Here is a 14,135-nt window from a genome sequence, read left to right as displayed (position 1 = left end):
GTTGATAAAGTTTTTTCAATACAAAGGAATGCAGCCATCTCATCAACTTTTAAATTAAAAGTGTATTTGTTTAGAGGTAAACTCCCACATTTATTCAGAATGGTTGAAAAATGGAATATTCTAGTAAAGTTCATGTTTTTGGATAATGAGGGTTATGAGTCAAAAGATTCTTGCATTTATGGTTAATAAAGTATTAGAAATTTACCATTGATGAGATACATTTTTTCAAACTGTGGCTCAGGGTGTATGAGTGTGCTTGAGGGATGGGGACTGGTGGGACTCAGGCTTTTTATGCCAGATTCAATCCCTGTTGTTCCTTCTGAGGCTTTCAGGAAAACTTTGGTTGGATAATAAGGTTTCTAATGCACCCTGCCTGCCATGTTAAAAACAACTATCAGAAAATAATTTGATTTTTCTAGGTTTATTCAGAAGGCACTTCCAAGATTTAGATGATGAAAATCACTTTTTACCAAAAAAATCTCCAGTTTTTGGTTTGCTTTTTGTAGATTCCTGAATAAAATTTGTTAGTTAAGTATTTGATTATTTGCAATCTAGATGAACAGAAGTGAGCCAAAGACCCTTTCCAGCTAGATTTATTTCAGTATAAGTTAACAATACAGTTTTTTTTTAAATCAATCAGGTCTCTCATGGTTTGTAACAGTGCAACCAACTCTAGTAACTGAAAATTTTTATAGCCGATGACTTCACTAGGACTTGTCTAGACAGCAGCTACCCTCTAAAGTCACATCATGTTAGGGCTGGAAGAGATCTAACGAAGATACTGTAATTTAGAAGTCCTAAATGTTCTGTTTGCCATTGTAGCCATGGTTTTAGGGTTTGAGGGACAGTGAGACCAATGACTTCAGCATGGAAAGTGGGAAACTGATAGGCATAAATATGGGGAAAGGCCTAACCTTGGTTTGGGATGCAAATGTAAACATACAAAAGTATTCTCTGGAAACATCAGCAAATTTGAAAGGAATTTGATGTCTGGTTATGTTTGTCAAGATGGAGAGACTCCTGGAGATTATACCTAGAGAAAGTAGTTGCAGTCAGTAAATTTGTAGCCTTTTGGATAGACTCTTCTTAGCAATGTAATGCTAGCTTTTATAAAATAATGCTTGTATTATTTGTTTCTGCTAATGAAATCCATATGCTGTGAAACAGTTACTTGTCTGTGGGATTTGGATTGGATCTACATGGTTCCCCAACCTTCAGCATTTTAGTCAACAAAGTAGTCAAATAGATTGACTTTTTTGTTTTTTTGTTTTTTTTGAGACAGCGTCTCACTCTGTCACCCAGGCTGGAGTACAGTGTCGTGATCTCTGCTCACTTTAGTCTCAACCTCCCAGGCACAGGGCTCCTCCTGCCTCAGCCTCCCAAGTAGCACCACACCCAACTAATTTTTGTATTTTTTGTAGAGACAGGGTTTCACCATGTTGCAGGCTGGTCTCGAACTTGTGGGCTCCAGTGATCCGCCCACCTCGACCTCCCAAAGTGCTGGGATTATGGACGTGAGCCACCACCCCTGGCCACTGATTGACTTTTTAAAGTAAACTTTCAACTCATTGTTTTGCTTTCCTGTCTGTAAACATAAAACTGCCAGATGCAATTTAATGTAGAGCCTGGACTCTGTAATTCCACAGTTTTACTGGCCTGTAAGTGGCAAAGACCAGAATGTACTTTATAGTCCAGAGGAGTCTGATTGCTTTGATTGATGTAGATTTGGTTTGAGAACCTGAGATAGAAAAAGCCTTGTCTCTGACAAAGTGTTTTGAGAGGGCTTTCTATGATTTGGGTGTTTAAATAATTGCATGGGTGGGATGATTGCAACATTAAGTGCCCTTAGATCAAATAATAGCTGAGCTTCCCATTAACTTTGTGAATGTGAAGTGACTTATGTCTGTAAGACTTTCTTCGGAGAAAGAATACTAATGGTTGCCTGGTGATTTTGACTTGCTGGGAGTAAATACACAGTGCTTTGTATTTGGTGAAAAGTTTTGATGTGAAGTACACTTTGCTCCATGCCTTGTGACAATGAGTGCATGACTCTTGCTTCCCATTCTGACTGTAGGAAGCTGCCCTCTGTCGACAGCTCCCCATGGAAGCTGAGACTCTTGCCCCAGTTCAGGCTGCTGTCAACCCACCCACGATGACCCCAGACATGAGATCCATCACTAATAATAGCTCAGATCCTTTCCTCAATGGGTAAGTTAATATTTGGGGGCCACTTATTTTTATTCTCTTTATTATGTGATCTAGACTATAATAGGATCTTTGTTTACATTGGGAAGAGGTGGGGAGCTTGAGGGTTGAGGGTGAGAATAAAGGGAGGAAGTGGGAGGAGCTGGCAGAAAAAAGAAAAGCAGGGGAAATCATCTGCCTGTTAAAAAATTTCCAAATTAAAAAATTGGTGATAGGACGTAGAGTAAACCCCTAGTCAAGAATTTGAAAATGGGCATGAACTTATATTTTTAAACATGATGGTGTCGTCTAGTACTTATACTTGGAAGAATCTTCTGGTTTTATGTAACCAACAGGGGATAAAAGCATGCCATATGGCAAATTGAGAACAGAACAATTAAGAGATTATGTTCGGCCAGGCATGGTGGCTCATGCCTATAATCCCAGCACTTTGGGAGGCCGAGGTGGGCAGATCACCTGAGGTTGGGAGTTCGAGACCAGCCTGACCAACATGGAGAAACCCTGTCTCTTCTAAAAATACAAAATTAGCAGGGCATGGTGGTGCATGCCTGTAATCCCAGCTACTCGGGAGGCTGAGAATTGCTTGAACCTGGGAGGCGGAGGTTGCAGTGAGCCGAGATTGCACCATTGCACTCCAGCCTTGGCAACAAGAGTGAAACTCCATCTCAAAAAAAAAAAAAAGAAAGAAAAGAAAAGAGATGATGTTCAGGGTGAAATGTGAATAAGATCTATAGTTTAGTAAATAATATTCTACAGTGTCAGATTTCTGATTTTGGTAATTGCACTATGGTTATGTAAGATGTTATCACTGGGGAAGCTGGTGAAGGGTACATGGGAACGCTCTGTACTCTTGTTGCGTCTTCTATGTGAGTTTAAAATAATTTCACAATTTAAAAAGTAATTAAAACAAAGGAGCAAAAGGGAAAGAGAATTTAGCCAGAAATATCTTCATGAGCAGAAGTAGTTTTTAAATCAAATAAAAAGGGCAATTCTGTATTTCCTGTGCCTTTTATTCTGCCCTTGCAGAGACGTCTGGCAAACAAACAATACAATTATGAACATTATTAAAGATAGAGATAAAAACAAATAGTAGCTGAAATAATAATTAATGGAGGTTTTAAATTGTTGATTTTAAAGTATTTGAAACACAGAGAAGTACAAAGAATAACATGAATTACCCATGTACCCACTACCCAGATTTGCCATAGTTTTATTTAATCTTACTTTTTAACAAATAAAATATTACAATTAATATTTGAAGCCATCCCCCCACCACTGAAATCTCGTTTCTTTTCCCTTCTGTCCCCAGTGGTAGCCACTATTCAGAAACTGGCGTGTGTCCATCACACAGACTTTTATACCCCTTACTGCCCGTTAGTGTATGTATCCATAAGCAATATTCAACATAGTTTTTGTTTTTTTTTTTTAAAGTTTTACATAAATGGTGTCATACTCTGTATGTTGAAGAATGTTCAAATGGTTATTTTGAGGTGAAAAGGAAATCAATGTCAATTTACTGTGAATGGCCACACATGATTATTTTCATTTTCATGAGGGTATGTATTTCAAAATTAAAACTTTCCTTCCTCCCTAACCTGGAAAGTTGGGCAGCATGGCACAACTGCACTAGTTTAGAGCTTTTGTGACTGTGTTTTAATTTTGAGATTTATTTAGTGGGCTCATATTGAAGTTTCTTCATCTTTTGCTTTGCAGAGGGCCATATCATTCGAGGGAGCAGAGCACTGACAGTGGCCTGGGGTTAGGGTGCTACAGTGTCCCCACAACTCCGGAGGACTTCCTCAGCAATGTGGATGAGATGGATACAGGTAGGAGCAAAGCCTGCAAGCACTTACAATGGGTTTGTGTTTTTTAAATGATCTCTTCGGTTATCTCAATTTTATTTTTCTTTTATTTTATTTTTATAATTTCAACTTTTATTTTATATTTGGGGGTACATGTGCAGGTTTGCTACATGGTTATGTGATGCCGGGGTTTGGGATACGATTGCTCTCGTCACCCAGGTAGTGAGCATAGTACCCAATAGTTTGTTTTTCACCCCTTGTTCCTCCCCACTCCCAGTAGTCCCGAGTGTCTGTAAAAATGTTGAAAAAAAAAAAAATGGAATGCTTCATGAATTTACATGTCATTCTCATGCAGGGGCCATGCTAATCATTCCAGTTTTAGTATAGGTGCTGCCAGAGCGAGTACGGTCATCTCAATTTTAAAATCCAACCAGAAACACTCAATCTCAACGACAACATAAAATAACAGCTGAAAAGCCACTGAACCCCCAGGCACTATTAATAAACTGTAGCCCCTTCCTCATAGATTATACAAGTATAGTTTTACATCTGGGCGCAGGATTTTAAATTCTGTTGTTTTTTTTTTTTAATTCATCTTTGCTCCATATAGTCCCTTCCTCACAATTGCATCAAGACACCACTGTTTGTTTGCCATGTTTCCACATTGGGGTATTTATGCTGTTCTAGTTTTTAGTTGTAATATATGGGCCACCCTTTCTCCTGGAAAGTGACACTGGTTTATAGTTCTAGTATCCAATTTTTTTCATGTCATTCACTGCATTTGAAAAGCAATTGGCAGTGGGTATTTGGAATGCTGAGCAACTCAGAGGATTCAAAATTGTCACTTCCAAGTTCCAACATGGTAACGACATCCTCCCTCAGGAATTAAAGAGAAGAGAGTCAGGGTTACTCTTACCTTGTCCCCAGCCTGTGCATCCTTCAGGTCCAGCCTCACCAGGCTTCCCGATTACCTTTCTTTTTCTCCTTTTCTCAAGGAGTGAGACTTCCAATTGCAGAAACTGAAGTTAGTCTTATTAGCCTTACCTAGACTTAATTATGAAAGTCATAAACTCTAAGAAGATATTCTAGAACCAAAAATAAATGACAGCCAGGGTGTCCACTATTTGGAGTTATTCATGAAAGTTCCTTCTCCATTATCATTGACGAAAGTAATTGTTTTGTGTTGAAAATAAAAAATTCCTTCCCCCAAAGTGTTTGCCATAGTGCCTGTAGTTTTTTACACTCTACTCTTTGATGGCTTCTCTTTGTGTTGTGAGTCTAAATTGTTGGAAAGATCAAGAGTCAAACTCATAGCCAGGTGTCTTACAAATGCAGTACATTAAAGCTGCTCCCCTGGCGTCTTTCGTGTAGGTTGTCATCTTTGCATTGAGAAGATTGCAAAGACTATCTTGTGAGGAGTGACACAGGAATAGTTTGCACTGATTGTTTTACTGTTCTTCAGTTTATTACTTCAGTTCTTCCCCCACCACCACCCCCTGCCACCTTTATCTCTCTCTCTGCTTTTTGAGTGTGAGATTTATTTTGCTATCTTTGGAATAGCCTTAGGAAGTGGCTCCTTCCTATGTTTAATAATTCTTTACTTTCATCTTCTAAACACTGGGAAGCCAGTAAGGATAAAAAGCAAAGTTAAGGAAAAAAGCTCAGGAGATCTAAATCTAAGTTTGACATTCAAAAAAAAAAAAAAAAAACCATAAAAGAGGATGGATTCTACTCTATGTCTCTTTAAAATAACCTCAAGTGGGTAAGTAGGGAGTGTTTTATTTTGAAGCCGTAATGTGGAATTAAATGACGTCCTGAAAAGAACATAGTTTTAGCCAACAGGCAGCCTGATTTGAATCCTTGCTTCTCCATTCCTAGTAGCGCCTTTGGGTAAGTTGCATAACCTCCGTGAGCCTCAGATTTCTCACCCATAAAGTGGGAGTGATATGCTCACGGCAGAGTTGTGAGGAGTCATGAGATCACAGAGACCAGCTCAAAGTGCTCTTCTCCAGTAAGAAGACTGATGTCATACATACAATGGACTTGATAATGTCAGAGTGCCACGTTAACCTGGTTAAGTGAGAATCAGCTCATTGAGTGTGGGAATGTGAGTGCCAAGTTAACCTGGTTAAGTTAGAGTCAGCTCATTGAGTGTGGGGCCACCTCTGTGAAGTCTTTGTAGGAACTGGACATACATCTTCTCAAGGGGAGAAATGTTAATTATACAGTAGCAAAATGAGGGAAGCTGTGGGGGCAGGCAGAGCTCAAGTGTGGCTAGAAAAGATCTATCAGGCCTGTGGACCACGCGCTGGCCACATGCTGAAGGGAAACGAGCCAGCTGAGCACTCCATTTGCAAAACATACATGGCAGCAACAGCTGGGCTTGGTGCGAAGATCCAGTAAAGGGAATAACATGAGCAAAGGCTGGGAAATCATCCATCCTTCCAGAATATTCTGCAGTAATCACACCCTTTTAAGAATTGCCTTGTGGCTGGGCACGGTGGTTCACACCTGTAATCCCAGCACTTTGGTAGGCCGAGGTGGGTGGATCACCTGAGGTTGGGAGTTCAAGACCAGCCTGACCAACATGGAGAAATCTTGTGTCTACTAAGAATACAAAATTAGCTGGGCGTGGTGGCACATGCCTGTGATCCCAGCCACTCGGGAAGCTGAGGCAGGAGAATCACTTGAACCCAGGAGGCGGAGGTTGCAGTGAGCCGAGATTGTGCCATTGCACTCTAGCTTGGGCAGCAAGAGCGAAACTCCATCTCAAAAAAAAAAAAAAGAATTGCCTTGTGTTTGTCTCTTCCACTTTTTAAGTGGATAAACTGCAAAGACCAAAAAGATTACTATGAGATTGCAGAGCTGCTTCTATTTTAAGATTGTTAACTTTAATGAAGAAGCTTAGCCAGTATCCTCATGCCTTCCATCCTGAGAAGAAAGGATAAGAGTAATTTTTTTTTTTTTTTTTAATACGGGGTCTCATTCTGTCACCCAGGCTGGAGTGCAGTGGTGTGATCTCAGCTCATTGCAACCTCTACCTCCTGGATTCAAACGAGTCTCGGGCCTCAGCCTCCTGAGTAGCTGGGATTACAGGGGTGCGCCACCATGCCTGGCACTGTTTTTTTGGGGTTTTTTTGTTTGTTTGTTTGTTGTATTTTTAGTAGAGACAGGGTTTCACCATGTTGGCAAGGCTGTTCTTGAACTCCTGACCTCAGGTGATCCACCCACCTCGGCCTCCCAAAGTGCTGGGATTACAGGCATGAGCCACCACACCCGGCCTAGGAATTCTTTAAAACAGAGATTTTGCTTGGCTAAAAATTATATTCTTGAGTATCTGAAAGTTAAAATGGGAAATTAGTAAAAATGAATGATTCTAACTGGAGATGAAGAGAAAAAAAGGCATCCAGCACATTAGATCAGATTGTTTTTTAGACACTTTTTAAAGCCTCATTTTTATCTGTTACACTCTAGTAAGTAGAAGAAAGTTATTTTGGATTTTGTTTTTTCGTTTAACGTTATTTTTCAATATCAGTAACACTATATTGAGGTCATATTGTTGAATTTGATTTAATTTTTCAGTTTACTACCCTTTGCAATGAAAATACTGTAAAATGTTACCCAGGAGTCATTTATATTTTGTGACTTCTAGAAAAGCCATTGTGTTTTGCTATCACCAAAATCCAAATTGGATGATGGTTCCTTCATCATTTGGAAGGATATAATTTTTCTCCCTGGAAAACACAGATTGCTAAAGTGAACTTTCGGCAATTTTGCTTAAAATAGTGAAACTTCCCTACACACGTTTCAGGAAGGCTACTGCACTTGTAACACACAAAAGATAATTTAACAAGTTTTTAAAAAATGACGTTATGGTGGAAGCTGGCCTTAGTTATCAATGCTTCTCAATTTTTGAAGTAGATATTATCTCTTCAGAAAATTGTTTGGGACTTTTTGAATTAACCTGTTGTTTTGATATTGTGTAATTAATAGTGGCTGAAGACCTGGGTTTTTCTTTCTCTCAGGACAATGAACATTTATTATATTTTTGTATGTATATAACTTTGTATATATCAATGACACCCAGAGCCATGGATATGTGGCAGACACTATATGGCACTTTACTCTAACTTTTGTAAAAGGAGCATATGATCCCAATTTCTAGATGGGTAAACTGAGAATCAGGCAGGTTAAGTGTGTCTAAGCTTACACAGCCACAAAGCTCGATCTAATGACACCAAAGTCAGTAGTGCATTCTGTCCCATACTATGACACATAAAGAACCTATATTCTTCATGTCATATCCCAGACACCTACTTTTCCTCTAGTACAGCATTTTCTCACCTGTGTTCTGTAGAACTTCAGTTTTATTTGAATACACATACTGCCAAAATAGGTTTAGGTGATTAAATGGGTTTAGGAAATAGTGTCTTAAAGAAAACAAAAGATTTCTTTACTCTAAGACTTAAAGCCTTAACATGCTCATATGCACTGTGCTCATATGCTTGTGAGAAAGGCAGATAGTTGTAGGGTGTAGGTATTACAGAAAGAGGGAAAACGTCTGCAGAACTGCCTTTATAAATGATGCCTAAAGTCATCAATGAAGACAACTTTTTAATAGCCTGGTTAAAAGAAGCTTCACACCATTCTCTTTGAACATAAAGAAGGATGGTATGGGTAAACCTAAGCTTACAATGAAACCTGTAGATTATAGTTCTGTAATAAGCTGTTTATTACAGACAAGGCCTCTCTACTCTTTTGTAAAACAGTTCTTCACACCTTTGTCATGGGAAGGCACAGATCATAGATCAGATCCACAGTGCCTTTCACATGCTCCTTTCTTATCTCCTTGGCCTTTTCCATTCTGGACCACACCTATCCAGAAATAATTTTCGATTTCTTCCACATCTCTGTACCTCTTATGAGTAAGGGTCAATAATGTGGTAGTTGAAGACATGAAGGTGAGGGTTATGTAAATACTTGAACTGTTCCTCCTTCAAGAGCCTAAAAGAAGGAATTAAAATGGTTTCTTTTCATTTTGTTATAGGAGAAAACGCAGGACAAACACCCATGAACATCAATCCCCAACAGACCCGTTTCCCTGATTTCCTTGACTGTCTTCCAGGAACAAACGTTGACTTAGGAACTTTGGAATCTGAAGACCTGATCCCCCTCTTCAATGATGTAGAGTCTGCTCTGAACAAAAGTGAGCCCTTTCTAACCTGGCTGTAATCACTACCATTGTAACTTGGATGTAGCCATGACCTTACATTTCCTGGGCCTCTTGGAAAAAGTGATGGAGCAGAGCAAGTCTGCAGGTGCACCACTTCCCGCCTCCATGACTCGTGCTCCCTCCTTTTTATGTTGCCAGTTTAATCATTGCCTGGTTTTGATTGAGAGTAACTTAAGTTAAACATAAATAAATATTCTATTTTCATTTTCTGCAAGCCTGCGTTCTTGTGACAGATTATACAGAATTGTGTCTGCAGGATTGATTATGCAGAATACTTTTCTCTTTCTTCTCTGCTGCCCCATGGCTAAGCTTTATGGGTGTTAATTGAAATTTATACACCAATTGATTTTAAACCATAAAAAGCTGACCACAGGCAGTTACTTCTGAGGGCATCTTGGTCCAGGAAATGTGCACAAAATTCGACCTGATTTACAGTTTCAAAAACTGTATTGATGACAGTAGTACCAAATGCTTTAAAAACTATTTAACTTGAGCTTTAAAAATCATTGTATGGATAGTAAAATTCTACTGTATGGAATACAATGTAATTTTGAATCCATGCTGGCTCTGATGGCTCTTATTAGTCTGTATTTATAAAGGCACACAGTCCTATTGTAGCTTATCTTTCGTTATTTTACTGCAGAGCATCTAGACAACTTAGTCCCTCCAGCGGGAAAGTAGCAGCAGCAGCATTAGTCACAGGTCTTACACTACAGATCTTGTGAAAGAGACCAGTTTGGTACTAATTATGAGCATTTTATTCAAACAAAAGTTTTTGAAATATTACAACTGGGGATTTAAAAAATTGCAGCTTAGAATCTGATGGTTTTTTTTTTTCTTGATGTTGTTTGTTTGTTTTTGAGATCGAGTTTTGCTCTTGTTGTCCAGGCTGGAATGCAATGGCACAATCTCGGCTCACTGCAACCTCTGCCTTCTGGGTTCAAGCGATTCTCCTGCCTTAGCCTCCCGAGTAGCTGGGATTACAGGCACCTGCCACCACGTCCGGCTAATTTTTTGTATTTTGAGTAGAGACGGGGTTTCACCATAATGGTCAGGCTGTTCTCAAACTCCTGATCTCAGGTGATCCACCCATCTCGGCCTCCCAAAGTGCTGGGATTACTGGCGTGAGCCACCGCACCCGGCCTTGATGTTTATTTTATAAAGCACTGTAATTTTGTAGCTGATGACAAAAGGCAGCCAAATGTTTTTGATAAATCAGTGGCAACTGTATTTTTGTCTTTTGAAATAACTCTGAAAACATCAGGACAACATAGATTTCAACCTGATAGCACACCACACACAGTGAGCTGTTGCTTTTTAAATTCTGAAGCCTTGTCAGGTTTGCTTCCTAGATTTCAAGTGTTTAAAATAATTCTATCTATGAAACTGAAGGATGAAGCAGATCTCTGACTGACATGTAAAAAAAAATGCCCTTTGAGGGTGTATGGTGGAGATAAATGTTTCTGAATTCAGTAAAATTGATTCCTAAGTATATTATCCTAATCCTGTTTGCTACAGTTGGTATAAAAAGGCATGAAATATGTATTCAATACCTCTTATGTAACCAAAACCATTTTTAATTAGCTTTTAAGGACTGAGAGAGCATCATGTTCAACTGGCATGCAGTCTGCCTGCATTGCCAATGAAGTCCTCAACTGTTTAATATTTTGAACTAATATTATTTATAATCTATGAATTTAATCTTTTTTGAAAGACTTTAATAATTTGAGTCTCTGAGAGGATACTTTCAATTTCCATGGGGGACTTATTTGTTGGGGATCTTAAATAAGATTCCTTTTGATCTACCGGAATATACATGTACAGAGTACATTGGATCATGTTGGAAAGAAGGCAAGTGAAAAGGTCAGAGATGAAGTAGCAAAGTTATGGAATATCGTGGAAAGGATACTAGTTGTGAAATGGAAAGAGACAAGTTATAGTACCCCAAAAGCAAAACAAGCAGGAGATGCAAGAGATGCCCCAAAAGGACAAAGCAACAATTTTCTGTTGCCACCTTTATACCGGAAGACTCTGTTGTAGAAGAAAAGAAGGCTTTGGTGCACCTTATGTGGGAGGAGGAGGGGCAGGGCATGCTGATGCTGAGCGTACAGGCAGACAAGAGCGTAGCCTGCTGTTGCCTCCATCACTATGAAATGACTTATTTTACCTGAAGGACCCATGGTTTATGTTCCTCTAATTCCTTTCACTCTCCCTAAGCCCTCTGAGAGAGATGAAGATAGATGATTTTATTGCTACTAAATTGAAGGGAGCACTATTTCTTTTTGTCTTTTGTTAGCAAAAAATTGCAAAAAGAATTGTACATTCTTGCTAAAAATAAATAAATAAATAAAAAATTAAAAAAACAAGGGACCTAACAAAACTCAGCAGTGTTACTGTATTTTTAAAAAATATTTTTATAGACTCATTTTCAGGTTATTAAATGTAAGAGAAACAGATACCCCTCTTTTTTAAAGTAGGTAAATCATTGATGATTTATATTACCAATTTTTAGAAGTAATTTTCTAGTAAGCTTGTGGCATCAGAAAATACTAGAAGATTTTTTTAGTTAAATTAGTTAGAACATTTATGAATGAATATAATAAATATTTTTTCAGAATAAAATATGGACCCTTTGTGTTTACTAATAGATAAAGCCAGATATAATTTTTTGTTTTTAAGGCCACAAAATATGGCCTTTGTTAAAGAACACTAAAGTTAGAAATCTAAAGTTAGAGCAACTTTTTAATGGCTATTTCCTATTATTGTAAGTGTTAAAACCCCTGCAGAATTCTTGATAAGGTGCTATTTATACTATATTTCTTATTATAAGATAACTGTCTTTAGTCTTCTTAGTACTAGTCTTTTTAGTACTAAATCAATCAGTAAACATCATCATTTCACCCCAAAATTTTGTCACAGAAAAGGCGTATCAAATGAAAAATAATTTCAGAGATCTTTCTTTCAAGATATTTTTTCCTGATAAAATACATTGTCTTGAAGTAAATACATTGTCAAAACCTAATTGCAATTCTGTTAAATCTAAGTAATTTTTAGACAGTGTTTCACCGTATTATTTAGGATGTGAAATGCCATTTCTTTCACTGATTACACCATATACAGGAAACAGGTAAAACAGTGAAAACTTTATTGTGCTGGTTGATGCCAACTTGGTTGAAAAGCTCTCTGCAGAAGAAGTGATCTAGACTGACAGAAGTGTTGCTAATTACAAGTTGTGTTCTCATGACGTAATTAGAAAGTAACTTCTCAAAGTACAACTTTTATGAAAAAAATAAGCTGTTAAAAAAAGGAAATCGTAGGTTAATTTAATTGGGAAAATGGGCAATTGACAGAGACCATTTTCCTAACACATATATGTGCTAGTACTTTAACTTTTTAAAATTTTACTTCTACGTTTTGTAATATAAAAATTTCTATTTTAAGTTTAGAATGTTATACGTACCGAAAGTATGCAGCCAAATCGATCAGATCAAACCATTTTACCTGGAGTTTGGTACTGGTTTTTACTTCTCTGAATCTGTATAAGAAAAATAAAGACAATTGAACTTCCACTTGGAGCTTTTGACTTTTCATTATTTGTCTGTGTTCCTTTTACTAGGGGATTTGGGTGGTACTGAAGACAGGCTTATGTAACCCTCCTGGCAGACAATGAAAGAAAGAAAAATCTGCAGGCAAACAATTTCTTGGCTCACGTGCCTGGCCTTCAACATTCTAAATGTTCACAGAATTCTAGTTTCCACTTTATTTACAATGTCCACTGAGGTTTTTAAAGGTGTATATATACACCTTTAAAAATAAAAACATATACCTTTAAATATATATATATCACATCATTGTCCTCCCAACACCCTCACAGATTTGACAAGACCATCAAAAATACAGGATTCTTGCTGGGCACGATGGCTTATGCCTGTAATCCTGGCAATTTGGGAGGCTGAGGCGGGAGCATTGCTTGAGCCCAGCAGTTTGAGACCAGCCTGGGTAACATTGTGAGACCTTGTCTCTACAAAAATATATAAACATTAGCCAGGTATGGTGGTGTAGAATATACAACAAACTCTTATAAACCAATAGAAAAAACAAACAGCCCAATAGAAATATGGATCAATAATGTGAATGGAAAGTTTATAGAAGATGAAACTGGCTGGTGACTAATTTACCAACCTCATTCCAAATCAGAAATTTAGATAAATAATGACTGAATTCCCAGTGGCTCATAGGCTTGCTGGAACTCTTTCATTGACCTAGACTCTGCAACCTTTTCCTACTGGCTGTTTTTGAAATCGGTTTCTTGTAACTTAAAAGTTTGAGTTGATAAAACCTTGAACTGTAATTAGCAGAGAATTGTGTTTAGAAATATTTATTTATAGGGGTCACAGATAGAATATGCTGGGGAAGCTTACGTGTCCTAAATAACCTTTTCTGCTTGTAAGTCATTAGGTCAAAGTAATGCATGGCACATTGGTTTGCAGTTTGAGGACCAGAAGTAAGGTGACAACTCTCCTGGTTTGCCCAGGACTAAGGGCTTTTCCAGATTCAGGAATTTCAGTGTTAAAACTGTCCAATCGGCCAGGCGCATGGTGGCTCATGCCTGTAGTCCCAGCACTTTGGGAGGCAGAGGTGGGCGAATCATGAGGTCAGGAGATCAAGACCAACCTGGCCAACATGGTGAAACCCCGTCTCTACTAAAATACAAAAAATTAGCCGGGTGTAATGGCGGGCGCCTGTAGTCCCAGCTACTCTGGAGGCTGAGGCAGGGGAATCCCTTGAACCCGGGAGGCAGAGCTTGCAGTGAGCCGAGATCATGCCACTGCACTCCAGCTTGGTGACAGAGTGAGACTCTGTCAAAAAGAAAAAAGAAAAAAAAAAAACAAAAC

General features: G+C 38.4%; 1 protein-coding gene and 1 pseudogene across 9 annotated transcripts in view; one reads left to right on the top strand and one right to left on the bottom strand.

The window, feature by feature from the left end:
• The window catches only part of WWTR1 (WW domain containing transcription regulator 1), a 207,554-nt gene extending 194,745 nt beyond the window's left edge, over positions 1-12,809 (top strand). For all 9 annotated transcript variants that reach the window (NM_001348362.2, XM_047447933.1, XM_047447931.1 and 6 more), the window contains 3 exons: positions 2,075-2,208; positions 3,919-4,031; positions 9,055-12,809. In NM_001348362.2, the coding sequence (NP_001335291.1) occupies positions 2,075-2,208; positions 3,919-4,031; positions 9,055-9,239 (432 nt within the window). In that variant the 3' untranslated portion in view covers positions 9,240-12,809. The remainder of the gene's footprint in view (positions 1-2,074; positions 2,209-3,918; positions 4,032-9,054) is intronic.
• Positions 4,318-4,413, bottom strand: RNU6-1098P (RNA, U6 small nuclear 1098, pseudogene; annotated as a pseudogene).
• Positions 12,810-14,135: the final 1,326 nt, after the last annotated feature.

This window comes from Homo sapiens, chromosome 3 (assembly GCF_000001405.40).
Source record: "Homo sapiens chromosome 3, GRCh38.p14 Primary Assembly".
In the NCBI taxonomy this organism is placed as follows: Eukaryota; Metazoa; Chordata; class Mammalia; order Primates; family Hominidae; genus Homo; species Homo sapiens.
This window is presented reverse-complemented; position numbering and strand designations above follow the sequence as displayed.